General features: G+C 40.9%; 1 protein-coding gene across 14 annotated transcripts in view, besides 2 other annotated features; it reads left to right on the top strand.

The window, feature by feature from the left end:
- CACNA1E (calcium voltage-gated channel subunit alpha1 E) overlaps positions 1–26,367 on the top strand; it is a 490,386-nt gene that overhangs the window by 289,853 nt on the left and 174,166 nt on the right. The gene's annotated exons all lie outside the window — the stretch shown is intronic.
- Positions 19,068–19,117: an enhancer, noted in NCBI's record as "active region_2194". NCBI's record gives its function as "activates an Ori minimal core promoter by ATAC-STARR-seq in GM12878 lymphoblastoid cells {active_cell/tissue: GM12878}" and the evidence as "EXISTENCE:reporter gene assay evidence [ECO:0000049][PMID:35858748]".
- Positions 21,469–21,745: a silencer, noted in NCBI's record as "fragment chr1:181598156-181598432 (GRCh37/hg19 assembly coordinates)". NCBI's record gives its function as "represses an EF-1alpha promoter that drives an FKBP-Casp9 reporter gene in an ReSE screen in phorbol 12-myristate 13-acetate-treated (for megakaryocytic differentiation) K562 erythroleukemia cells {active_cell/tissue: K562(+PMA)}" and the evidence as "EXISTENCE:reporter gene assay evidence [ECO:0000049][PMID:32094911]".

Consider the following 26,367-nt stretch of genomic DNA (forward strand, 5'->3'; position numbering starts at 1 on the left):
TCCTGGCCATGGCTCTTATTCTCTAGAAGCTTCAGCCTTTCTGCAAAATGCGAATGAGATTATTAATGGTAATAATACCTTGTCTATCTTTCAGGGTTGTTGTGAGGAAAAGATGAGTTCATTTATGTCAAATACTTTGAAAACTACAAAGCTCCATGAGAGTGTTGGAATTAAGTAAGGATGCTGGGGAGTGACGAGAGATGAGCAATTGCTCTTAACTACAGAGAAGAAAGTTTCCTGCAGGAGGTGGAGATTAGGAATGAGGCTGGAAAGATGGTGTTTCAGGCAGCATCCTGGCAGGAAATGGAAGGCAACTTCAGCTGGGTTTTGAAGAGGGTTTAGTAATGGTACCATTTCAGGGATGTGGACAGGAATATGGGACTGAGAAGCCATACTTAGACCCTGGGGATTAGCTATTGTGGGATGTCATTTCTAGTCCTGGGCCTGAAGGAGCAAGGTGAGGAAATGAGGTTGTTAGAGCCTGGTGAGGAAGGAAGAGGGGCTGCCTGACCGTGACCACAGAGGGACCTCAACCTGCCTGAATTGCCACACTGATGCTTCTGGTGCCACCTCTTAGAAACTAGAGGGCTAGGGAGCTGGGTGATGCAGTTTGTAGGGCCTCACATCTCAGGGAACAGAGAAGGGTGGAAAGTAGGTGAGGGAGGGGCAGGTAAGTGGAGAATAACCAGTGTGGATGGGTATTATTTGGGAAGACAGGGAGGAGCGAGGAACGATGAGGATATCCAGGTAAGGATAGTGATGGGAGAAAAAGCAGAAAGGCTGGAGAATACCTATGGAGCAGTTGAAGAAATTAGTGGGAAATAGGATTTAAGAAGTTGGCAGGAATGACCAAACCATGATTGTCAGGCTTGGAAGACTGGGCTTTATCCTGCAGACAAGGGGGGCTACAGCAGTTGTTTCCACAGAGGAGATCCATTATGAAAAGTGTCTGGAGAAATGGTTTGGGCAGAGGTATGTGAGTAGAGGGAGGCAAGGAATGACCAGAACACTGTTGTGACCACCGGTGAGAATGGAGAGCGCTGGGTGAACACAAGAACCATTGGGAATGGATGAGACTGAATGCAAGGGCATGTCTACAGGAGACCCCAGGGCACAGAGAAGCCCCAAGCCTGGCATTTCTGAGCAGGATTGCTTTGCTCGATGCCACCTTCTCCCTCTCCTCTATTCTAGTCATGTGCCAGGGCTTTGTGACCCGTGCTTTTCTGTTCTTTTCCTTGGGACATCTCTGCTACTGTCACTGCTGCCTCTTCCCTTATTTCTGAAGGTTTCTTCCACATTTCTCCTTATTGATTGTATATTATTACTGCAACTCATGAATGACCGTCAGAGGTTTCTGAGCCTACAGGGCTGGGGCAGGGGTGTCTCCTGACCATTTCAATCTTCTGCCACAGCCTGGGCCACACAGACAGCTTTAGCATCAGAAGAGATGGCCACACCCAGAGCTGGGCCCCCAGTATCCACAAAGGAAAGTTCAGCTTAGGAAGAAGAAATGGGGAGAGAACATTTTTCTTCCTTAGCACCTGAATGAATGCTTTGCCCAGCAGGGCTACCTCCCGCCAGTCTCTACCTTTGTTGTAATGCCAATTCTTATTTAATGTCTGCCAAACACAAAAGGTCCATCAGGATCACGTGGAAAGAAAGTGAAATGCTGGCGGTGCCCCCTGGGTGTAGGCCTGAAATAAGATGAACAGGAAATAAAACATAACTGCAGGGAAGGCGGGCCCTAGACAAAGAATGGCAGTGGGCTTGCTTGTTCCTCCTCTTTGCTCCCTTCCTTTCAAGCCTCTTGCTTTGAGAGGGAGAGGCTTGTGTGTGTTTTGTATGGGTTGGTAGTGTGAGAAGGAAGTCAAGATGTTTGGGAAGGATGAATTTTGAGGGAGGATGTTAAACAGAAGAACAGCCAAGTATGGGGAAGGATTGGGAATAATGGCCCTAAATGTGGCAGAGTAGAAAGAGAAGGAAAAGAACAGAGTGAAAAGGCACACCGGTTTCAGTGTGGCAGAAGGAGCTCAAACACAGGGTGGGGAGTTGATGAGGGCTTTGCTTGGCTATTTGTGTGCAAGTTATGAGAAAATTGCTAATAAACCAATGCAAATCATCATTTATTCATGTCATTAAGCACTATGTTTAGCTCCTTCGTGCATTATCTTATTCTCACAGCAGTTGTGTGAGCTAGAACTCTATTTTCTATGATTTGCCTAGATTTGTAGATGACTAAACTAAGGCTGAACATGAGTAACTTGCCCATACAGCTGACAAGCAGTACGCTGGATCTGAAACTCAAGTGGGCAAAACCAGGATGGTCAAGGGAGTGTTCCTTCTGGACATAGCTCCTAGGCATTAACTCCCAGCATATTGGCTGGAGTTAGAGAAGTATTGCCAGGACAGAGCACATCTCCATCTTCCTCTGTCTCCCCATCCCATGTCTTGTTATCCAGTTTTGTGGCCCCTGGACACCAACACAGTATTCATTGGATGGTGAAGAACGGTGGGAAAAGCCTGGTCCATTTGGTGTGCACAAAGCATCTTCCTGACCTCTTACTGTAAAAGCCATGACAGTTTGCTCCCTATGTTGTACAAGAGAAAGGATAAAAGCCTTTTGCCTCCAGTGTTACAGAGAGAGTCTGTAGACTGGGCATACTTCCTGAAGGCAAGTCTTTTCACAGTCCCTGCACATAAGTACCAATTAGATAATTTTTCCAGCCATTTCCTCATTCCCATCCCAATAATAAACCAATAATCTAAACATACTAAGGTTGAGAACGCTCCTCCCAAATATCTTGGGTAATTGGATGATCTACAGAACGTATATGAGGACTTGTTGGGTGATGCCCAAGTGCTATGTCTTTGTCTGCAGCACTTTCTACTTTGCGTGGTCTATAAAAGACAGCTACAGAATACAGTGTGGTCTGTCTTTGGCTTTGAAGTTGGACATGCTGAATATTATTAATTATTCCTTGCAATACAGCAAAAAGTTCTGATCCAAACATTGTTTCTTATGCTTAAGTTTGTTGAAAAATTTGAAATCAGGCCTTGTGAATTTGATCATCTAAGGTCTTATTTGCAGAGACATGTACTTACTCAGGTAGTAATGTCAATAGAGATGTCCTGAGGCTCAAGAAATCCCTGTTTGCATTGTGGTGAGCTCCTCAGCCACATTGGAGCATCTTGGGTGGTTCCAATGAGGACTTTTGAGGACCAGCTCAGCCCCATGCACAACAGCATGCAGTTTTGCTCTAATATAAATAAAAACAATGGAAGTAGCTATTTTTATTGGACTTTTACTATTATAATATGTGCTAGGCACTATGTAGAGGGCTTAAGTTCATTATTTCCAACTCTTACAACTTTGCAATCTAACATTACTACAATTTTTTTTTCTTAAGATGGGGAAACAGAAGAGTTAATAACTCACCAAAGTCACAGCTCAGTCCATGATCTTAGCCTCTACCAGTTCTGAAAGACATGCCTCCTGCTGTGTAGTAGTTCCAACAGGGCATGGTTCTGATACTAATCCATTTCCATGATTATGAACAAGCAAGGCCTTGGCAAAATTGTGAGATAGTAAGGCATGCCTTCTAGCTGCCAGCCCTTTTGTCCTTTCCCTTAGAACCTTTCGTAAAATTCTCCACCCCCATCACCACCATCAACACACTTCTACCTCTCACTGTCTCCACTAGCAAATTCTTTTCCCCATTGATTCCTTCATTCATTTCGTCAACTGATCTTTATTGCATGCTGACTATGTGCTAGGTACCATGGTGGGCACTGCTCTAAGGAAAGATTCTAATTTCAGTTACTTCCATTTTTGCTTGATTTTTAAGTCAGTGTTTTTTTTTTTTTCTCAGAAGCAATTCATTCTGAGTGCTTACCTCTAATCAGAGAATGAAAAACCTTGTCAATTATCAAAAGAATGTGAGACATTAGCAGGCAGATGGTGGGTTTTGGGCAGGTGCACCTCTACTGTCAAGACAGTTGCCATTCTTCCTCAAGGATAAGATAGACCTGAGGTACACAGAAGTGAGTTCATGCATGATGTGGATCTACCTCCAGAGGCCCTATCCCACTAGATAATTTGTAGATTCAATAGGGGAAGGGTGCTTCCTGACTTAGAAAGCAGATCTCAGCCTCTGACCCTATCCTTGCACTGTGGCTGAGTTATGTTTACTGCCATAGTTACTATAGTGTATTTAAAGCTATAATATTGAAAGACCCTATGGTTGGCAGATTTCTTCTTGGGCAACAGGCTTATGTTACAGTTCTTAGATAAAGACCACTTGTATATGATCATTCTAGTATGCAACCAACTCTCTGTGATCATCTCTGATGAAATTCTAGTTGAGAATAAACTTTTCCCTTGATACATACAGAAGGCAAAAAAGATATTCTCTAAAAAAACACGCAAGAGAAGATTTCCATCTGAAGGCCAATGCACCAATGCACCTAAGAGCAGAGACTGTCAAGTCACCCTACAGAGTCTTCCTGTCCCAGGAGAAAACACGACACTTGAGATTACCATACCCAAAAAAGGATGACCCTCTCATGGCCTGGCCACCTATGGAAGCAAGGGAAAGAGCACCAGAGGAAAGAATAGGTAGGACCCATCCCAACATCTGTAGGGAAGAGGGAGCTCCGTCCAAGGGCTGGACTTTCAGGTCTCTCTGGAGGGGAGCAGGCTGAACCATGCTACTGCAGCCTAATGCCACTGACTATCTCAGTCACGTGATGCACTCTCCTTGCTCTGATCCATCTTCCAATCACAAATTGACTTCCCAGGAGGCTTGCCTGTGAGAGGGTGATGGGTTTACCTGAGCTCATGTGGGCCCTGGTCTTTGCAAGGTTTTATTTTTCATTGGAATGCTCAGGTGTAGTGAGTTCGACCTGAGAAACAATCAACTGTCAGGGCTGATCAATCAGGTTTGTGAGCAACTGACATTGAGGGCTGGACTCTGGAGTAGATAGAGTTTACTCAGGAAAGCCTCTCACTAGAGGCTTCCTGGGAGAATGCTGTCTGGCCTGTAGGCAATAGTCCTTGATGCCATTCCTTTTCCAGTTTGGTGATACTTGACTCTGAGTTTTCTTTAAGGCAGCTGGGACAGTTCCATGGAGGGTAGACTCATGCACAGAGATATCATATTCATAACGGCTCTTTGCTATACAGCTACTGCAATCTACAATCCCACACAAGATACCCCCTCCTTCAGTTTTTGAGTACACATATAACTGTCAGGTTGACTGAATAAGTTTGCCTATCCTGAGGTCATAAAGACAGTCTCCTGTTTTATTTTCTAGAAGTTTTATTGGTTTATTTTTCACATTTAGTTTCCAATCCACCTGGAATTGATTTTTATGTGTGTTGTGAGCAGGAGTTAAGATTTATTTTTTTATGTGGACATCCAATTGACCTAGCACTATTTATTACAAGTTTTTATTTTCTCTGTTACTGTCTGTCACCTTTATCATAACCATATCCTGACCACGTGTGTATGAGTTTGCTTCCGGACTCTGTTCTATTCCATTGTATCTCTTTGTATCAAATACCACACAGTTTCTTAATAACTGTAGCTTTATAATAAAAGTCATGTGGTGATGTAATTTTTCTAAATTTGTTCTCTATTTTCAGGTTTGTCTTGGTTATTTTGTTTTCTTCTCAGCATTTATGTATACATTTAGCCTTTAAAAAACATGAGGGCTAGGAGTGCTGACCACCTCCTGGGCAAAAATCCACATATAACTTTTGAGACCCCCCAAACTTAACTACTAATAGCCTACTATGGGCTGGAAGCGTTACTGATAACGTAAGCTGTCCATTAATACATATTTTATATAATATATGTGTTATATACTGTATTCTTAAGATAGCTAGAGAAAAGAAAATCATAAGGAAGAGAACATATTTACTATGATTAAGCCTAAGTGGATCATCATAAAAGTCTTCATTCTCTTCATTTTCACATTGAGTAGGCTGAGGAGGAGGAGGTTCTTGTTGTCCAGGCCTTCTTATTGTACAACCAAAAGACTGGCAGCTGGTGTTTATCTTTTCCCTTCAAGGCTTGGGGGTTAGCAACTTTATGGGTACTTTATCAGGAAGGTCCTGATCATAAACCTAACTGCATTTGCACAAAACAGTAGAGTTAGCCTATTCCTTCCAGCCTTAAATCCTGGTGCTCACTTCTCTCCCTTACTAATAAATGTCCTTTGTGGCATATTTTTTTCCCAAAATAGGGCACTTTGTCTGCATTAAAACCACTTAAGGTAGACATCTTTCCTCCTCGATGATGTTTTTTCACTGGTGCCTGGGAACTCCTCTGCTGCCTCTTGGTTGGTAGCAGCTGCTTCTCCTGTTAGCTTGACATTTTTTTAAGCCAAATATCTTTCTAAAATTATCAAACCATCCTTTGCTGGCATTAAAGTCTCCAGCTTTAGATAATTCACATTCCTTTTCCTTTGTCATATAATGACTTCAATTTTTTTCAAATCAAATTAGTCTATAGGTATGCCTTGCTTATAGCAATCCTGCACCCATGTAAAAGCTGCATTTTTAATATGAGATAAAAAGATATTTCACAAAAAGTATAATGTTTTTGTACCTGCTGACGTAGCTGCTACAACTACTTCGCAATTTTCTTTTCTTTTCTTTTTTTTCTTTTTTACAATGATCCACATGTTGGATTCATTTGTCTTGAAATAGCAGGTAGCCACAGCTGTAGGCCTCAATTTATGGCAAATATCAAGCAATTTAACTTTTTCTTATACTGTCATGACCTTTCTCTACTTCTTGGGAACACTTCCAGCATCACTAGTAGTGACATTTCTTATGGGCCCCATGATGTTATTCAAGGTTTACAGTATTGCTCTAAACACAGTGAAAACTATGCAAGAACCATGAGAGATCACTTTTTACTACAGCATGCAATTTACTGGAGACAATTGCTCACTCAGAGATGATTATTGTCACATGGTGTTTGAAGCAGATACTTGCAACACTTGAGCTCATTGCAATAGCAACAGGAGGTGGCTACAAAAATATAGGCAGTAGTACAGTTACACATGCAGTTAATTTTATGCAGTTATGCTTTATACTGCATCTCTACATTTGTTTACATTTCTCTTAACTAAATGGTATCATGTACAGTCTGTAAATGTGTGGATAAGTTTTGATACATTTTAACTTTTTATAATCTGTATATTTTATGGTAGTAAATGATATAGATTAATATCTACATATATTTTGTGCATTCATGACATACCTAACTTTGATATTTCTAGGTTACACAGTTCTGTAAGTTTTTTCAAATTGTTGCAAACGTCCAAATTTTTTTTCCAATATATTTATTGAAAATAATCTGCATATAAGTGGACCCATGCAGTTCAAACATGTGTTGTTCAAGGATCAGTTGTATGTACTTTAGAATTATCCTGTCAATTTTTACTAAAAAAACTCTTGCTAGGGTTTTGATTGGGACTGCATTGAATCTATAGAATATTGGGGAGAATTGACATCTTTATAATAATATTGAGTTTTCTCATTCATGCAGGTAATATAGTCATCCATTCATTATATACTTTTTCTCATTAAAGTTTTATACTATTTTGTGTAGAGGTCTGATATATCTTTTATTTTATTCTATTTTTTGAGATGGAGTCTCACTCTGTCACCCAGGCTGGAGTGCAGTGGTGCGATCTCGGCTCACTGCAACCTCTGCCTCCCGGGTTCGAGCAATTCTCTGTCTCAGCCTCTGGAGTAGCTGGGATTACAGGCACCTGCCACCACGCCTGGCTAATTTTTGTATTTTTAGTCGAGATGTGGTTTCACCATCTTGGCCAGGCTGGTCTTGAACTCCTGAGCTCATGATCTGCTCGCCTCGGCCTCCTAAAGTGCTGGGATTACAGGTGTGAGCCACCATGCCTGGCTGATATATCTTTTATTAAACTCATTTTGATGCTATCATAATTGGCATTATTTTTAAAGTTCTGTTTTCTAGTTTTTGTTGCCAGTATATAAATATACACATTAATTTAGCCATATTCAGCTATCTTGATAAATTCACTTACCAATTTTAGTAGTGTATCTGAAGATTCTTTTGGATTTTCTATATATATAATCCTGTCATCTGTGAATAATGGTAGTTTAATTTTTCATTTTCAATTCTTATTCCCTTTTTATTTCTCTTATTATACTGGCTAGGACCTTGTTATAAATTAAATAGAAGTGGCAATAATGGAATTCTTATCTCATTCACAGTCTCAATGGAAAAGTTTCACTGTTTTCTCATTAAACATGATCTTTGCTGTAGGTTTTTTATAGACACCCTTTTTAGGACTAAGAAAGTTTCCTTCTATTCCTAATTTGTTAGGTGTTTTTAATAAACACAAGTTGAACTTTACTAAATTTTTTTTCTGCAGCTATTGCACTGATCATGATTTTCCTCCTATATTCTTTTAATATAGTGAATCACATTGATTTTTCATTGCAACCTTGGAGTGACATCACCTTTGTTGTGATATGTTTTTTCTATATCATTGGGTTTGATTTTTTACGATTGCATTATCTGTTTTCACAATAGAAACTGGCCTATAATTTGCTTTTCTTGCAATGCTCTTGTGAAGTTTTGATATTAAGGTTAGGTTTCCTTAATGAAACAAGCTAGATATGCTGTCTTTTTCTACTCTTTGGAAGATTTTGTAAGATTGAAGTATTTTCTTCCTTAGAGTTCACCCATGGAGATATCTGGGCTTGGAGGTTTTTTGTTTGTTTGTTTGTTTTGTTTTGTTTTTTTTGTTTTTTATTGTGGTTTCTACCAAGTTGTAATTTAACACAGTGGAGAATCAATCTGTTATTTACCATGTTGAAAGAATAGGCTGGGGACAGTGGCTCACTCCTATAATCCCAGCACTTTGGGAGCCCAAGGTGGGTGGATCATGAGGTCGAGATTGAGACCATCCTGGCCAACATGGTGAAACCCCATCTCTACTAAAAAAATTACGAAAATTAGCTGGGTGTGGTGGTGCACACCCGTAGTCCCAGCTACTCGGGAGGCTGAGGCAGGAGAATTGCCTGAACTGGGGAGGCAGAGGTTGCAGTGAGCTGAGATCGCACCACTGCTCTCCAGCCTGGTGACAGAGCAAGACTCCATCTCAAAAAAACAAAACAAAACAAACAAACAAAAAAAAAGGAGGTGGGGGGAATCATGGAATCAATGCAGAAAAAAATTTAATGAGGTTCAAACTTTCTTTGTTTTGTCTTTTTTATGTCTCTTATAAGTTACAGATTTAATTTCTTTGAAAGAGAACCATTAAGCTTTTCTACTTCTTGTGTCAATTACTGTAAGTTATTTTTTGAAGTAATTTATCCATTGCATTCTTATTTTCAAATTTAGTTGCATAAAGCTCATAATGTCTCCTTATTATCTTTTAAAACATTCATAGGATCTGTAGTGATGTCCTTTTTTCATTCCTGATGGTGATAATCTCTGCTTTCTCCCTCTTATTTATTTATATCTATTAGTCTTGCTAGAAGTTTATCAAATTCATTAGTCTTCTCAAAGAACCAATTTTTGGTTTTGTTGATTTTTCTGGATTGTAAATTTATTTTTGTTTTTATTTATGTTCTTTATTTCCTTCTAAATTTGAGGGGTTTAATATGCTGTTCTGTTTCAAACTTTTCCATGCATATCTTTATATTTAAGGTGTATTTCTTATGAGCAGCATTTTTTTTTTTTCCTAGTGGGAGTTGTTAGTGTGTGTTTTGCTCATCATGGTATTTTGTACCTGGAATAGTAGCTGGAACATCCTAAGTCTTCCGCCAGAAAATATTGAATGAACGAGAGAATGAGCACTGAGGTCTTTGTCAAGGGTGGAAGGTGGGACAGAGATCATCAGGAATCTGAGTTTGTCCTGCAACAAGTGAATCGGTGCAACTCCCTTGAGGACTTTTGTTCTCTGTGTATTCCCTATCTGACGATGATTTAGCCAGTCTTCATGCTTATCTGTTTCATGCCAATCCCCCTATCAAGAACTTCTGCTTTCCTTCTTCCCACCTCCATCACTCACAATTATAGCAGTGAGGGGTGCCACAAGCTTAAGTATATAGCATGTTCTTTGCCAACATTCCCAACAACCCCTCCTTTTCAATGTTCTCTCACAGAAAGATTGCCTCCCACACCTCTCTTCATTACAAAAGAGCCCAAATGACTCCTGGTATTTTAAGGGGCGCAAAGTTATGACAGTGACAGAGCGATGTGGTATTAGCAAAATGACTCCGTTGGATGTGCCATTAGGGCTTTGCATGTCATCTGGGTGACTGCTGTTTTGTCCACATTTAGCTGGGTGAGCCCCAGAGCTGAAGGAGTTTATTTTCGGTGTAGGAAGAAAAGCTTTTTGGATTTGCCTGTCAGTTCCTTTTATTTTTTTCAAAGACTCCAAAGTTGATATGGCTTTTTCCCCCTGCCTTGCTTCAGAGGCCCAAAGATGTAGACAATGAGTCTCTGCATGACATTTAATTCGCCTACGGTGCTGTTTTGAATGTTACAGATGAACCAACTATGAATTGGCTGTATGTCTGTATTTGTATGAATATGTGAGACAAGGGGACTAGATGAACTAGAGAGAAGCATTCTTGGGAAGAATAAGAAGACACCAGCGAAGAGATGGTGGTGGGCATGGCAGATGAGAGTCACAGTGGTAGAGGGGACTTCAAGAGATCATCTGGGCTGGGCGTGGTGACTCATGCCTATAATCCCAGCACTTTGGGAGGCCAAGGCAGGTGGATCACTTGAGGTCAGGAGTGTGAGACCAGCCTGGCCAACATGGTGAAAGCTTGTCTCTACTAAAAAATACAAAATTAGCTGGGCATGGTGGTGCATGCCTGTAATCCTGGTCACTCGGGAGGCTGAGGCAGGAGAATTGCTTGAACCTGGGAGGTGGAGGTTTCAGTGAGCCAAGATCGTGCCACTGCACTCCAGCCTGGGTGACAGAGCAAGACTCCATCTCAAAAAGAAAGAAAAAAGAAACCATCTGGTTGAGTCCTTTGTCCTTCAGTAGACGAAGTGTCCTCATCCATATTTTATAGACAATACAATTGAAATCCAGAGATGTTTCATTATTTGAAGAAGAAGTTGGAATCTGATTCTGCTAGCCTGTGAATTTCAAAGGTCAAAGACTATATTGACGTTGATCACTGTTGTATTCCCAGCACCTAATTCAGTGAGTAGTACAGGGTAGGTGCTCAATAAATATTTGCTGAGTAAACACCAAATATATACCTACAGCTGCTGAAAATTCATTTATGTTACACTTTAAGTTGTTCTCCAGAGCATCTGGTTAATCTGGCCCTAAAGTACTACAAAAATTATCAGTTTTTAAATTCATAGATACATGATAACAAGTAAAATAAATGGATTTCAGTTTATTAGATGAGGGTTCATTCATATAACAAATTTTTGTTGAGTATCAATATTATATACAAAGCACTGGTCTAAATACTGGGGATACATCAGGGAACAAAACAATCCAAATCCCTGCCCTCATGGAACTTACATTGTTTACAGTGTAAAAATAAAACAGATAAATCATATACATAGTGCATTAGATGGTGATACAGTACAAGGGGACGGGGTCGGTTTTGGTAGGAGGGCCTGATGGTGTACTTTTATATGGGGTAGTTAGGAAAGGCCTCACAGAGAAGTTGACTTTTGAATAAAGACCTGAAGAAAGCTAGGGATTAAGCCATATGGACATCTGGGGAACAAGCATTTTGAGAAAGAACAGCAAGTGTGAAGGCCCTGAGGAAGGAGGGTGTCTAGAGAGGTCAGGGAGGAGCTAGGAGAACCATATGGATGGAGCTTATCAACTAGGGGAGCCAGGTCAGGTAGAATCCTGTAGGTCATGATGAGACTTTGACTTTAACTTGGGGTGAGTTAGGAAGCCTTTGGAGAGCTTCAAAGAGGTCAGTGACATGATTCAGCTTACATTTGAATAGGGTCACCCTAGCTGCTTTGTTGGGAATGGACTGAAAGGGGGCAAAGATGGAAGTAAGGAGACCAGTTAGGAGGCAATTGCAATAATATGAGTGAGAGATGATGGTGGCTTAGCCCAGAGGGTAGCAGTATGAATGGTGAGGAGGAGTGAAATTCTGGATAGGTTTTGAAGGAAGGAAAGGCTGATGGATTTATTGATGAACCTGACATGGGATATGCGAGACAAAGGGGGAGGGTCATGATTATTTGAAGGCTTTTGGCTTGAGCAGCTGGTAGGATGGCATTGTAATTAACTAAGCTGTGGAGAATGGTGAGAAGAGCAGGTCTGTGTTTTATTGGGGAGGGGGGAAGGATCAGGAACTCAGGTTTAAACGTGAAGTTGGAGGTGGCTACTAGACATCCATAGAGGATCTTTTGTAGGCAGGTAGAAAAATGACTTGAATTCAGAGAAGTTTGTGGTGAAAAAATACATATATATCTGCATTATTGTAGTATATAGTTTTTAAGACCATGAGAATTAGGTGTGAATAAAGCTGATGTCATGAGTTTTATTAGTATATGGCCAAGATAGGGTTTTCTATTATATTCTGGGGGTCAACTGATTAGCTTCAGGGCTACTAATCCAAGATAGCCATGTAGAGCAAGTATGTGTTAACTCTACAGGTGAGCTGGTGAGGGAAGGGGGTGGATCAGCTTAAGCCAGCCTCACTGCCAGGAAAGCAGCCTTGGGTGTTGAGTCAGCTCTGCTATCATCCTTTCTGTGAAGGGGAAGACATCCTGATTGCTATTATAGATATGAAGATAAACTCACCTGGATAATGTCATTTCACCATGTAGGCACTCCTCATCCACATGTTGAGACATGGGCATACACGTGCAATTGAATTCATTTCTTGTTTTTCTTGTGATACATTCACCTCAAGGTGAGACTTAGGTAGAGTTGACCAATGGGCTGGAGATCATGTGCTGAGGAAACCCTGAGAACACAGCTGCTCTCAACTTGTCATAAGGTGTTTCTTTCCAAGGAGCCCCAAATGGATTGTGCTATACTCATGGCATTATGGTTGGTAATGGAGGTGCAAAGAAGTAGAAGACTTGGAGAGTTCCCTTAAGGAACTTATCTGGTGGACTTACATGAAAATTCAAATAGTAATGCAAGATGGAAGGTGCCAGACAACAGAGGCATGAAATAGTTCATATGAGTCATGAGAAATTCTGAGTGAAATCCTAGGTGCCATAAAGTCAGGAAAGGCTCATTCACATAGGAGATTGGGCTTGAGCTGACCTTTGAGGAGTGGGAAGACTTAAATAAGTAAAGAGGAAGAGGGCTTCCTAGTGTGGTTGTGCAGGTTGTACATAAACAACTCTAAACAGCACCATAAATGTCACAATCCATGTGTATGGCCCCAAGATGGAAAGACACTCCAGGAGGGAAAAAAAGCATGGAAAAAAACAAGGAGATAGAGTTACATAATACATGGAAAGTTTATTTGGCTGATGCTAGTCAAATATCCATCTACTTATTTAGGAAATATTTATCGTCTGGCATCATTGAGATCACACTGAACAGAGTGGAAGATTCATTTAGGAAAGCAGTGACAAAAATGTGTGGGCTGTTGCTATTCAATGTGAGGCCTTGAATGTCAAACCAAGGACTTAGGACTTTGCCCCATGGGCAATCAGGAGGTATAGAAGGTTTTGGATGAGAGGTTGATGTTTTAAAAATAGTGTTCTAGAAGGATATCTTGGCAACAATGTGCCAGATGGCTTGGGTTATGGGGTGACTTGTGGTGGGGAAGTGAAGGAAAACCATAAACCAGGAAAAGAGTGGAGAGTGTTAAAGGTAATTCAGTATGGGTTAACAGAAAGACATGGAGTCATTTTCAAACATACAGAGTCGACTGTACATTCACCAATTAGGTGCTTGGTAAATGCTTACTATGTCCGTGGTTCTCTAATACATGTAAAAGGGAGACAGAAAAAAATTCAACAGTAATAATCCCAGGTATATCTGTGAATATAAAACACATATCCACATTGCAAGTCAGCCTGTCAATAAGGGAGGACAGAACATAGATAAGCAGAATGAGATATAGTGAATAAATTTAATAACTGCCAACTAGTTAGCATTTATGGAGCTCCTTAATGGCTTAAAGCATGACTGTATCACACGAGTTTTTTTTACTACAACCCTATGAAATTAGTGTTATCAGCCATCTTTCAATTTCAATGAGGAAACCAAGATGCCGAGAGACTGAGTGACCTATTGTGCTACCTAGCCTTGCACTGTGCCAAGCTCAGTATCTCTACAATACATAGGTAGGGGAACCTCTAGTTACTGAGCCAGCTTTGTCAGCTGTGGCGAGGGTCATACCTGATGCAGCCATGAGTGCATCCCTTCCTCAAGGGGCATACAAGACCCTGCCGAGCTAAGACATCCAGTATGGGGTCTTTGTCACTGCCAAGAATGCCCCTGGCCATAATAACTGTCCTTGAGTAGCAAGAATAGCAGAGTCCCTACTCCCTGCTCCTGGATGAGTTAGGTCAACAGGGACTCCACCAACTCTCCATGGCACTGGTCCATCAGAGCTGCCTCATGCCTATTTCCATGCCTAGGTTATGCTGTAGGAAGCATTGGCATATCCAAGGCTAGATCTTTCATTTCCTTCCCCTGCGAGTCTTCTGTAATTGCTTGGAACTCTGGGAAGTCCAGCTTTTGGCTTAGTAGAGGGCTGTTCTTTCACTGAGTCAGGGCCCTTTCATGATGGAACCTCTTCTGATTATGAAGGTAATGTTAGAGTAGTTGGTGGGTATATTTGCTAGGGCTGCCATAACAAAACACCACAGACTACTGGCTTAAACAGAAATTTACTTTCTCATAGTTCTGGAGGCTGGGAGTCCTAGAGCCAAGGTGTTGGCAGGTTTGTTTTGTCCTGAGCCTCTCTCCTTGGCTTGCAGATGGCCCCCTTCTTGCTGTGTCCTCCCATGTTCTTTTTCTGTGTGCATGCATCTTTTGTGTACAAGTTTACTTTTCTTGTAATAATACCAGTAAGGTTGGATTAGGGCCCACCCTATTGACCTGATTTTTAAACCACATCACCTCTTTAAAAGGCCCTGTCTCCAAATATAGTGGGAGTTATGGCCTTGGGGTGAATTTTGGTGGGAGACACAATTCCGATCATAATCCTGGGGAAGCTCTTCCCACTCCACATTTCATTGTCCTGTTGTCCTTGCTCTCCTAATTCTACTTCCCTTCCCTCACCTTTTCTGGAAGTCTATTTGAGCCTGGATCCAGAAGATGCAAGGGAGAGATCTGAAGTGTTGCTTAAAAAAACCGCGACAGCCCACTTATGCTTAGGAGCTTTTTCTGGGCACCTTTCAGCAGCAACACACCCTCACAGTTGGACTTCCTGTGGTGAAGGAAATTTTCTAATTTCTTTTATTAGGCTAATTAGGAAAAGAAAAACAATCATTTTTTCTCAAATCAGATACTATAACTGGGACACAATGATTATTAATCATCATCAGCTGCAATTGAAGTCCATTTGGTCATTCAACAAACATTCCCCAACCCCATTCCCACCTTTCCAATTATGCAACCCCTCAGTTAAAATCGCCATCTCCAGAAGGCTCTCCCTAACTAATTTGGCCCACAATGGTAAACCCCTTTTCAAAATTTGTGTAACATTTGACATCTGTATTACTTATTTGGTATGTATTATAGTGTACCTTAAAATCTTTAATGTACACATATACATAACAAAATAAGTTCCTTAAGGACAAAAGACCACACTTTATATAATTTTTGTTTGCTGGAATTTAACAGAGAGTAGGCACAGAAAAAGTTCTCAAATGTTTGCTGAATGATTAAATGATTAAATAATTTGAGGATGGGTATTTTTTGGGCCCATAAATTTAGAAATTACTGTTAAATAACATTATATAGATTTCGTAGATTACAAATTTTGAAAAAATTGAACAGCAATAAAATACATTTTAAATTCAAACAATATATGGGCATACCTTGGAGATATTGCAGGTTTGATTTCAGACCACTGCAATAAAGTGAATGACAATAAAGTAAATCACACAAATTTTTGTTTCCCAGTGCATATAAAAGTTATGTTTACACTATATTGTAGTCTATTAAGTGTGCAATAACATCGTGTCAAAAAAACATATCTACATACCTTAAATAAGAAATATATTGCTAACAATCATCTGAGCCTTCAGAAAGTCTTAATCTTTAGCTAGTGGAGGGTCTTGCCTCAATGTTGATGGCTGTTGACTGATCTGAGTAGTGGTTGCTGAAGGTTGGGATGACTGTGGCAGTGTCTTAAAACGTCTTAGTGTGTTTTTCTTGCTATAAAAGAATACCTGAGGCTGGATATTTTATAAAGAAAAGCTTTTTATTTGCCATACAGTTCTGCAATCTATACAAGAAGCATGGCATTGGCGTCTGCCTCTGGTGAGGGCGTCAAGCTGCTCCCACTCATGGTGGAAGGCGAAGGGGAGCCTGCCACATGGTGAGAGCAGGAAGCAAGAGAGTGGGGAGGGAGGTACCAGGCTCTTAAAAATTCTAGACAGAACTAATAGAGCAAGAATGGAGAACTCGTCATCATTAGGATGGCACCAGGCATCAAGCTATTCATGGGAGATCCACTCCCATGACCCAGACACCTCCCATTAGGCCCCACCTTCAACCCTAGAGATCCAATTTCAACATGAGATTTGGAGGGTCAAATTTCCAAACTATAGCAATAAGAGAAGAATGATGCTTGCTGCAGCCATTGACTCTTTCGTGAAAGATTTCTCTATAGCATGTAATGCTGTTTGGTAGCATTTTACCAACAGTAGAACTTTTTTTGAAACTGAAGTCAATCCTCTCAAACCCTGCTGCTCTTCTATCAACTAAGTTTATGTAATTTTCTAAATTTTTTGTTGTCATTTCAACAACATTCACAGCATCTTTACAGGAGTAGATTTCATCTCAAAAAGTAAAAAGCAACTCCTCATCAATGAAAATTTTATCATGAGATTGCAGCAATTCAGTCACATCTTCAGGCTTTATTTCTATTTTTAGTTCTCTTGCTGTTTTCACCCCATCTGCAGTTACTTCCTCCACTGAAGTCTTGAACCCCCTCAAAGTCATTCATGAGGGTTGGAGTCAACTTTGTTCAAATGTCTGTTAATATTGATATTTTTACCACTTCCCATGAATCATGAATGTTCTTAATGGCATCTAGAATGGTGAATCCTATTCAGAAAGTTTTCTGTTTACTTTGCCTAGATCCATTAGAGGAATCACTATGGCAGCTATAGCCTTATGAAGTACATTTCTTAAGTAATAAGACTTGAAAGTTGAAATTGCTCCTTAATCCATGGGCTACAGAATGGATGTTGTGTTATCAGGCATGAAAACAACATTAATTTCCTTGTGCATGTTCATGAGAGCTCTTGGATGACCAAGTGCATTATCAGTATTTTGAAAGGAATCTTTTTTTTTTTTTTTTTTTTTTGAGAAGCAGATCTCAACAGTGGGCTTAAAATATTAAGGAAACCATGCTGTAAACAGATGTTCTGTCATCCAGGCTTTGTTGTTTCATTTATAGAGCACAAGCAGAGTAGATTTAGCATAACTCCTAAGGGCCCTAGGATTTTTGGAATGGCCAATGAACATTGGCTTTAACTTAAAGTCACCAGTTGCATTAACCTCCTAACAAGAGAGTTAGCCTGTTCTTTGAGTCTTTGAAGCCAAACGTCGTCTTCTCTACTTACGATTTTCTCGTCTCTAGTTATGAAAGTCCTAGATGGCAGCTTCTTGCAATATGAAGCTGTTTCATCTACATTGAAAATCTGTTGTTTAGTGTACCCGTCTTTATCAATTATCTTAATCTTCTGGAAACCTTGCTGTAACTTCTGTATCTGCACTTGCTACTTCACCTTGCACTTTCATGTATGGAAACGGCTTCTTTCCTTCAACCTCGTGGACCAAGCTCTGCTAGTTTCCAACTTCTGCAGCTTTCTCACCTTTATTAGCCTTCACAGAATTGAGGAGACTTAGGTTCTTGCTCTGGATTAGGCTTTGGCTTAAAGGGATGTTGTGACTGGTTTGATCTTCCATCCAGACCACTCAGACGTTCTCTGTATCAGCAAAAGGTTATTTAGCTTTCTTATTCATGTGTTCACTGGAGTTGCACTTTTAATTTCCTTCGACAACTTTTTCTTGCACTCACAATTTGGCCATTTGGTGTAAGAGGCTTAGTTTTTAGTCTATCTCAGCCTTCGCCATGCCTTCCTCACTAAGCTTAATCATTTCTAGCTTTTGATTTAAAGTCAGAGAAGTGTGACTCTTCCTTTCACTTGAACACTTAGAGGCCATTTTAGGGTTATTAACTGGCCCAATTTCAATATTGTTGTGTCTCAGGGGATAGGGAGGCCAAAAAAGAGGGACAGAAATGGGGGAATGAATGGCAGGTCAATGGTGCAGTCATAACACACAACATTTATCAATTAAGCATACCAACTTACATAAACATGACTTATGGTACCCCACAACAATTATAATAGTAACGTCAAAGATTGCTGATCACAAATCACCATGACAGATATAATAATAATGAAAAATTTTGAAATATTGCAAGAATTATCAAAATGTGACACAGAAACACGAAGCGAGCATGTGCTGTTGGAAAAATAGCATCCATAGTCTTATTAGACTCAGGGTTGTAAAAAATGCAACATTTGTGAAGTGCAGTAAAGTACAATAAAACGAAGTGCAGTAAAGTACAGTAAAATGAGGTATGCCTGTAGAACTAATCTCGTGTCTTAGATGTGTGAAAAAAAGAAAAGAACACTAAAGCCAGGTTAGAGAATTCTGCTTTCTGCTGTGCCTTTCATGGACTTTTGAACCTTGGGAAGTTACTCAGCCTCTCTCAGGGCCTTTCACCATTTACAAGGTGAGGCCATGGACTCTCAGATGACAACTAGATTTACCTTGCATGCAGTTTTCAGTGTATGGACATGGTTTACTGGAGAAAGATTCTGAGACCATGTCCAAACCCATCTATGAAAAGTACCTGGAATTGTTAGTCATGTCAGCAAATGCAGAGGAGGAAGTATAGGTAGTGTAAGTATAGACGTTCTCTGAGGTCCCTCCGAGCAGTAAAGCTCTATGAATTTATGATTCACTTTCTCTTTCATGAAGAGAAAGCACTTCAGAAACTTATGGGGCTCTGTAGTCATCACCAAGAACATTTGCTTTCATTGTACTGTTAAGTAGGAGTGCTCATTAGCAGAGATTCTGGTCAACCAAATGCTGGGTTAGTGTAGAGTATGCTACTTGATCTAAATTCAGGAAAACATGCCCAGGGCGTAGGACTTCCATACTACACAAATTTTCTTAATTGCATTGGTGTAAAATGTGCAATTAAAAGGGTAATGAGAGTGGTTATCTCTAGGTAATGATTGTGGGTAATTTTTGTTTTCCCGTTTATGCTTTTCTGTACTTCTAAATGTTCATATATAACTTTTATAGTTAGAAGAAACAAATCCTATAAAAAAGAATGATAGATACTCTAGCAAGATGAAAGAACAAGGAAGAATTTCAAAATTCAGTTCATTTCAGTGAACATTTATCCATTTCATTCAATAAATATTTATTTACCACTTACAATGTTACAGGTACTGCAGGGGTTACCAGTAACTGATTCAAGAAGGAGAGCTGTTCACAGAGCAAGATGTTTCACAGAAGGGAAAGCTATTGAACTAGGTCTTATAGGAAGAGTTATCAATTGACAGAATATGAAAATGGGGCATCTTGGGAAGAGGAAATGGTACCTGTATCTGGAAAATGTAATGCATTATCAAAGGACCGTGAATGTTTCTGAGAGGGATCCTCCTTAGGAGTGGGGGGAGATAAGGCTCGGTAAATGGATGAGGCCCAGACTGTTGTGTCATGGTGTCTAACTAGTGGGCAAAGTAGAGCCACTGCAGGGTTCTAAGCAGAGGAAGGCCACCATGAGAACAGTGTGTTGGGAACACTGATGTTGGCTTCAGGAGGGTCAGAGGGAATTCACTGGGCAGCACAGTGGTTCAGGGTAAGGGAATGCTGTATAAGCACCAGGCTTCTTCCCAGGTGTTCTTAATTATTACAAATTAGGAAGATTAAGGTTTAAATTGTGTCACTAACATGCTTATTCAGTGGGTGAGGCTACAGGTTGCTAAACTTGTTAGAATTGTGATACAATAATCTCATTGTTTTAGTGTCATGTCTTTTCCACCCACCTCTGCTTTCTCTTTCTAACCGTCTCCCACCCCATGTTATTGGCATTTAGTTCATATTCATTTTAGTATTAAAGGGAAGTAATTATTTCTGTATTGTGAAATTGGCATTTGAGATCATTGGAAATATTCTTTAATGCTGTAAGCTAGAGTTTTAAAAAATAGGATTAGTTAAGTCATATTTTTTAAAAGCGAAAAAAATCACCCAGAAGCTATTGAAGATGATGAGATAATGAGATGAAGAAGTTGAGATGGACTGTGTGTCTCTTGAGTCAATGTCGATAACCTTTGGAACCTGTCCTAAGTGAGAACCTCGATTGCCCTACTGCAAATGCACGTGTTCAGCTGCTGATTCAGGACTGATCACTGGGGGTGCCTCAGAACTTTCCATTTTCTTAGATTCGTCAGCAAACTCACACTCAGGGACCTTATGAGACCAAGTCAGAGTAAATGTCCAGGGTTTACAGAGTGGATACAGTGGCTCTGTTTCTCAAGAAGGACTCTGTATAATTAAATTATCATTCTTCTATTAAAAAATTGAAATTCTTTCTCCCAGGAGCTCATTGCCAGTGCCTTCTCTGTAGTCTTATAGTCAATTCAAAAATATATCACTTCTGGAAGATGTGAGCTTGAAGTGTGAATGCTATCACATGAATCTTCTTTTTATCATAGAAAAGGCTTTTAGGTGGGGTGTTGATGTCAAGATTAACTCAGAGAAAATTGGCTGCAGTTAGGGCTGAATGATAGTGATCATTCCAAAACTCATTAGGAGTCTAAAAAGTGAATATTTAGACTTTGACCAAAACCCATTTGTCCTAGAGTGAAATATGGTAGCGAGAGAAAGACAGCCCTGCAACCCCGAAGTGTAGGCGGGCCTTTCTTTAGGAACCAGGCATGTTCTTGAAATCTTGTGTGTCAATCAGCTTTTTGTAAATGGAATCCTTTTTTCTCCTTCATTAACTTTCCCTGTAATTTCAGCAGTGTTTAACATTCATTACTGATTGATCTTGAGTTGGCAGTTAACTGCTAACATTCAGATTTGGATTTTAGTGCTTCTTTCTTGATTTTCTTGCCTTTTTTTCTTTGCTCACTTTCTTTCAGCAACTACTTAAGGAGTAAATACTATGTCTCAGGCCCAGTGATAGGGACTGGGAATATAAGTAAGAATGACAGGTAAACAATTACCGTAGGAAATGGTAAATGCAAATCCTAGGAGTACAGAGAAGCTGTGGTAGCACGGAGTCCCTCTGTCTGGGGAGGGCTTCCCAGGGCAGGGGTTACTGAAGGATCTGAAGATGTGAGGAGGTGCTTGCTTGGGTGATGCCCATCCAAGGAAGACCAGGATCAGAGGCAGGTTTGGGATTAACTAACTGGAAGGACTTTGGTGTTGAGGAGTTTCAGTCTCAGGACAAGCAGTGAAGCAGCTGATGCTCTTTGCTTAGCCTTCTACATGGAGTGAGTTGTGGGGAAAAGTTGTTTGCAACATGTATTTTTCTAATGGCCAGGGAGGGGTTATTTCACTATTATTTCTCTCCAACTTTTCTATCAAATACACTTGTGGAGTTTCTGTAGTGTGAATTGTCTTACTTCAATCTGTAAGTTCAATCTATATTCATGAAGTAGGAGGGCACCCCTAAATAAGATTGAGAGGGAAAAAACATGAATATTTTCAGTTTTAGTGGGAACTCTCATATTTGACTTAGTAACATTAAAAATGATTATATATAAATTACAAATTTTTTATGGTAAAGGACACCATAAGTAATGTCAACAAATGATTAATACACTGAGAAAAATGACACGTGAAAAAAATTCTAATATAAGTATATATAAAGAGCCTCTATACATTTATAAGAAAAAGACAACATATAGAAATATGGACAAAGGAAGAGAGTAAGCGATTCAAAGGAAAGGCAAACCATATGGCCAATAAACACCTGAAATGATGCTAAAACTCAGAAAAATGCAAATTAAAGCAATAAATTGGACCAATTCTTTATCCATCAGATTGGCTAACATGAGTAGGAAGATTAGTGGAATGTTGCCTACCTGTGGTTCTGTGCGTCTGTGTGGGTCTACTTTAATGAGTTTAGATCTAGGTGCTTGTCCTGGAGGCACATTCACAGTGTGTTTTTTAAATAAGAAAAGCAAGTTACAGAGTAATGTGTATAGTATGATCCCATTCAAAAAAATAGCAAAATGCTATGTGTAAGTTTGAATGTGCATGAAGATAGGTGGGAAGAAAACACATCGGGCCATAAGCACTTACCACAGCAGGATGGGAATGGGGGGAGGGTGGGGGCAAGTAACTTTTTCTATATACATCTTTGTATGCAGTTGTATACATATTGCCTTTGTAATTTAATGTACAAAGACAAAATAAGTACCTAGAAATTAAGAACAGATTAGTACACTTTTTCTGCTACTGTCTTGCCATAGTGTTGTTCAAACCAGCTAGAAAACAATTCTGTGGTGCCAGGTGAGATGAACTCTCCACCTCTTCCTGAGGGCTTTGTCTTCATGCATGGGACAAAGCAGTGTAATTAACATGCCCCCCCACCCCGCCTTAAAACCTAATATTCATTCATCTCTTACTTTGGTTATTATTTAAAAAGAAAACATTTGTCAATTACTTCACACTGACAAGCACCATCCCACTGAGGGGGCAGGCAGGAGGTCCATCTCACCACCCAGCTGTATTGCAACAACGCCCTCTCCATCTGGGAATACGGCCCAGGCACTCCTCTGGAATCCTGAACACACTCCAGGCACCTCTCTTCTTACTGAACACCACCTATGCTTGGAGCACCATGTGAGAGGACACCTCTGGTATCAGGCAGCTTCAGATGTATTCAGAGAGATTGAAAACTGCAAGGATTCAAGGCATAACAAATGATACACAGACAAGAAAAAAAGACATTTAGAGTGGGGGATAGGGCCTGAAGGCTTGAATGGTCCTACAAGACTTTCTCAAAAGTCGTCACCCTGGGACCTGAAACATTAGAGCTCTTTCCAGAGTAAGTCTATTCTCAGCCAGAGGTCTCCAACAGAGGCTGTCCATGTGTACTGGTTTCAAGTTCTGCTTACCTCCCAAGTGTTGTTTTTTCTGACCCTGACCTAATTCCTCCCAGGCCAGGCTGGCCAGCACCTTCTGAAATTGCTCTCAGGCAGCTGGAAGGCCTGGCTGGCAGGAGCCCTGGGTTTTTCACCCTCAGCCCCAGGGCTCTTTGAAGGCCTACTCTCCAAGAACAAACAAACCTGGCCTGACGCTGCATAGCTGCAGAATAGGGGAGCTTTCTCGGCCTGGTGCCCAGGGTGGCCGAGCTGCCAGCCAGGTGCATGATCCTCAGTTAATTAGGTAACTATAGGTAGTCCTGCAGCCCAGGCTGTGTGCTGATTAGTCTGGGCTGTTGTTGGAGACCTCTGAGAATAGACTTACTCTGGAAAGAGCTCTGATGTTTCAGGTCCAGGGTGATGACTTTTGAGAAAGTCTTGTAGGACCATTCAAACCTTCAGGCTCTATCCCCCTCTCTAAATGTCTTTTTTCTTGCCTGTATATCATCTGCTATGCCTTGAATCCTTGCAGTTTTCAGTCTCTCTGAATATATCTTAAGTTGCCTGATACCAGAGGTGTCCTCTCACAGTGTGCTCCCCCAGCATCGTGCTCTGAGCATAGGTGGTGTTCAGCAAGAAGAGAGGTGCCTGGAGTGTGTTCAGGATTCCAGAGGAGTGCCTGGGCCGTATTCCCAGAAGGAGAGGGCGTTGTTGCAGTATGGCTGGGTGGTGAGATAGGCCTCCTGCCTGCCCCCTCAGTGGGATGGTGCTTGTCAGTGTGAAGTAAACCCTGGAGCACCTGAGGGAGGAAGAGGAGGAGATAGATCTTCAGCTTCCAGGGATTAGACTGAAAGCTCAACTGGCAAAATGCCCATTTTATTCCCTCATTGCAAGCTGAAAGTAGAGAGCTGAGGAACCCCGGGCTTGACCACTTTTTTGCATTGACAGATCCTTTGTGGGAGACACATGATCCACATGGGCATTCCTAGATCCCTTTGAAGACTCCATAAGCCCAGGGAGATCAGATTTACCTCAGGTTTCAAGTAGATCTCAAGATCCCACTGGAACTCAGATTTTCAGGGGAGTTCAGAATTAGGGCACGAAGTGCAGGAGATGGTATCAACAGCAACAAATCTGTCTGATATTCTAAAAGAGTTCATCCCAGTGTAGCCCCAAAGACTTCAGACTGAACCAGATTCACCTTGAATTGAATAAGCTGATGCAATATTGGCAGCTACACATTCTTCATATGACACCTCTTTTCTCAACTTCTCTTCACCCTGTAGTCTCCACAGAGATATTCCTGAGGGATAGCAAGAGTGGGGAGCTAACCTGTTTCTTTGCACTGAATGAGCAATGCTTGTGCCTTTCCTCTTTTCTTGTATCCGTACATTTCCAGAGGAGCCAGTTTATAGAGGGTATAGAGTAACCCAAGAATACAGGTTTGGGAGTAAGGGAGCTGGCTTTTATTCCAAGTGCTGCCACTGGCTCTCTGTGTCATCCTGGTCAAGGCATGGGGTGGGAGCAGGTGTTGAAAGGAGCCTGCTGCTGGGGATTGGCTGGCCCCCAAGGAGCTTATGCCCCTCTTGCTAGGATGCTGGGGATCAGGTCAGTAACACCTGTATTTACAGATGTGGGCTTTGTTACATATTTAATATTTAATTTAAAAAGAATTAATGACAGTCATAGCCCATATATAACCCACTTCCTGATGTGATTTGTTTGGCCCAGTTTTACAAAGTTGTCCTGTCAGAGGAATTTCATTTATAAAGTTCCTTATTGCTGAGCCTCTGTGTGTTCCAGTTATGAGTCACATGTGTCAACACCGTGGAAATGAAATTTGTACCCCCTGGACCCATGCAGATTGATTTGATTCTGGGCTAAATGGAAATAGAACCTGTACAAGTCAAATGTTTCTGGAGCATCTGCCATCTACAGGGCACTTGGAGGAAACATAAAGACATTCAAGACACAATCCATGTATTCAAAGAATGCACAGTCCAGCCAACAATGTTTTAAAGCTTCCAGTAGTTTCCTAAAAAATACCATAGTCTTTTTGAGTTTGGAGAATATTATTACTGTTGTCAATTACTTTTTATTAGCACCCTGTATGATATAGGTACTATCTTAGGTTGGTTTCCCTGGAAGTCAGCTCTGCAAAAGAGAATTGCAAGCAGAACGTCTTTCGAAGTGTGCTTTGGGAAGATACACCTGAGGATGCAAAAAAGCCAAAGTTCAACAGAGGAAAGGCTGACTCGCACCACCAGAACTGGATGTCCCTTCAGAGGTGTCTCTAATCGAGGCAAGGGGCAGTTTCCAAGGAAGGGTGCAGCAGCTGGGGAATAAGAGTGTCTGCCCTGAAAGCAGAACCTGAGTATAATATCATGGTATCCACTCCAGGCATTCAAATTCATTCTTATCACCATAGCTAATACTTACCGAATGCTTTCTGCTTGCCATAGCTTGAGCGAGTGTTTTAGCTGCACTGTTTCCGATTCATGCAATGTAGAGATGAGGCAGTTAAGGGGCAGAGAAGTGAACTGCACAATGAATACCATGGTAGGCAGAGAGGTGGAGAGGGGAATTATTAATAACTGTCAGACTACACTTTTTTATTTTTTTGAGATGGAATCTTGCTCTGTCACCCAGGCTGGAGTGCAGTGCCACCATCTCAGCTCACTGCAACCTCCACCTCCCAGGTTGAAGCGATTCTCATGCTTTAGCCTCCTGAGTAGCTGGGAATATAGGCGCCTGCCACCACGCCCGGCTCAGTTTTGTATTTTTGGTAGAGACAGGGTTTCACCAAGTTGGCCATACTGGTTTTGAAATCCTGACCTCAAGTAATCTGCCTGCCTTGGCCTCCCAAAGTGTTGGGATTACAGGCATGAGTCATTGTGCCTGGCCTCAAACTGTACTTCACATGTAATTTTCAAAGCGCTATCCCATGATAGGAATTATCATTCCCATTGTACAAATTGAGAAACTAAAGCATGGAGAGGTTAAGGGATTTACCCGATGTCACAGAACAAAG

This window comes from Homo sapiens, chromosome 1, assembly GCF_000001405.40.
Source record: "Homo sapiens chromosome 1, GRCh38.p14 Primary Assembly".
Classification (NCBI taxonomy): Eukaryota; Metazoa; Chordata; class Mammalia; order Primates; family Hominidae; genus Homo; species Homo sapiens.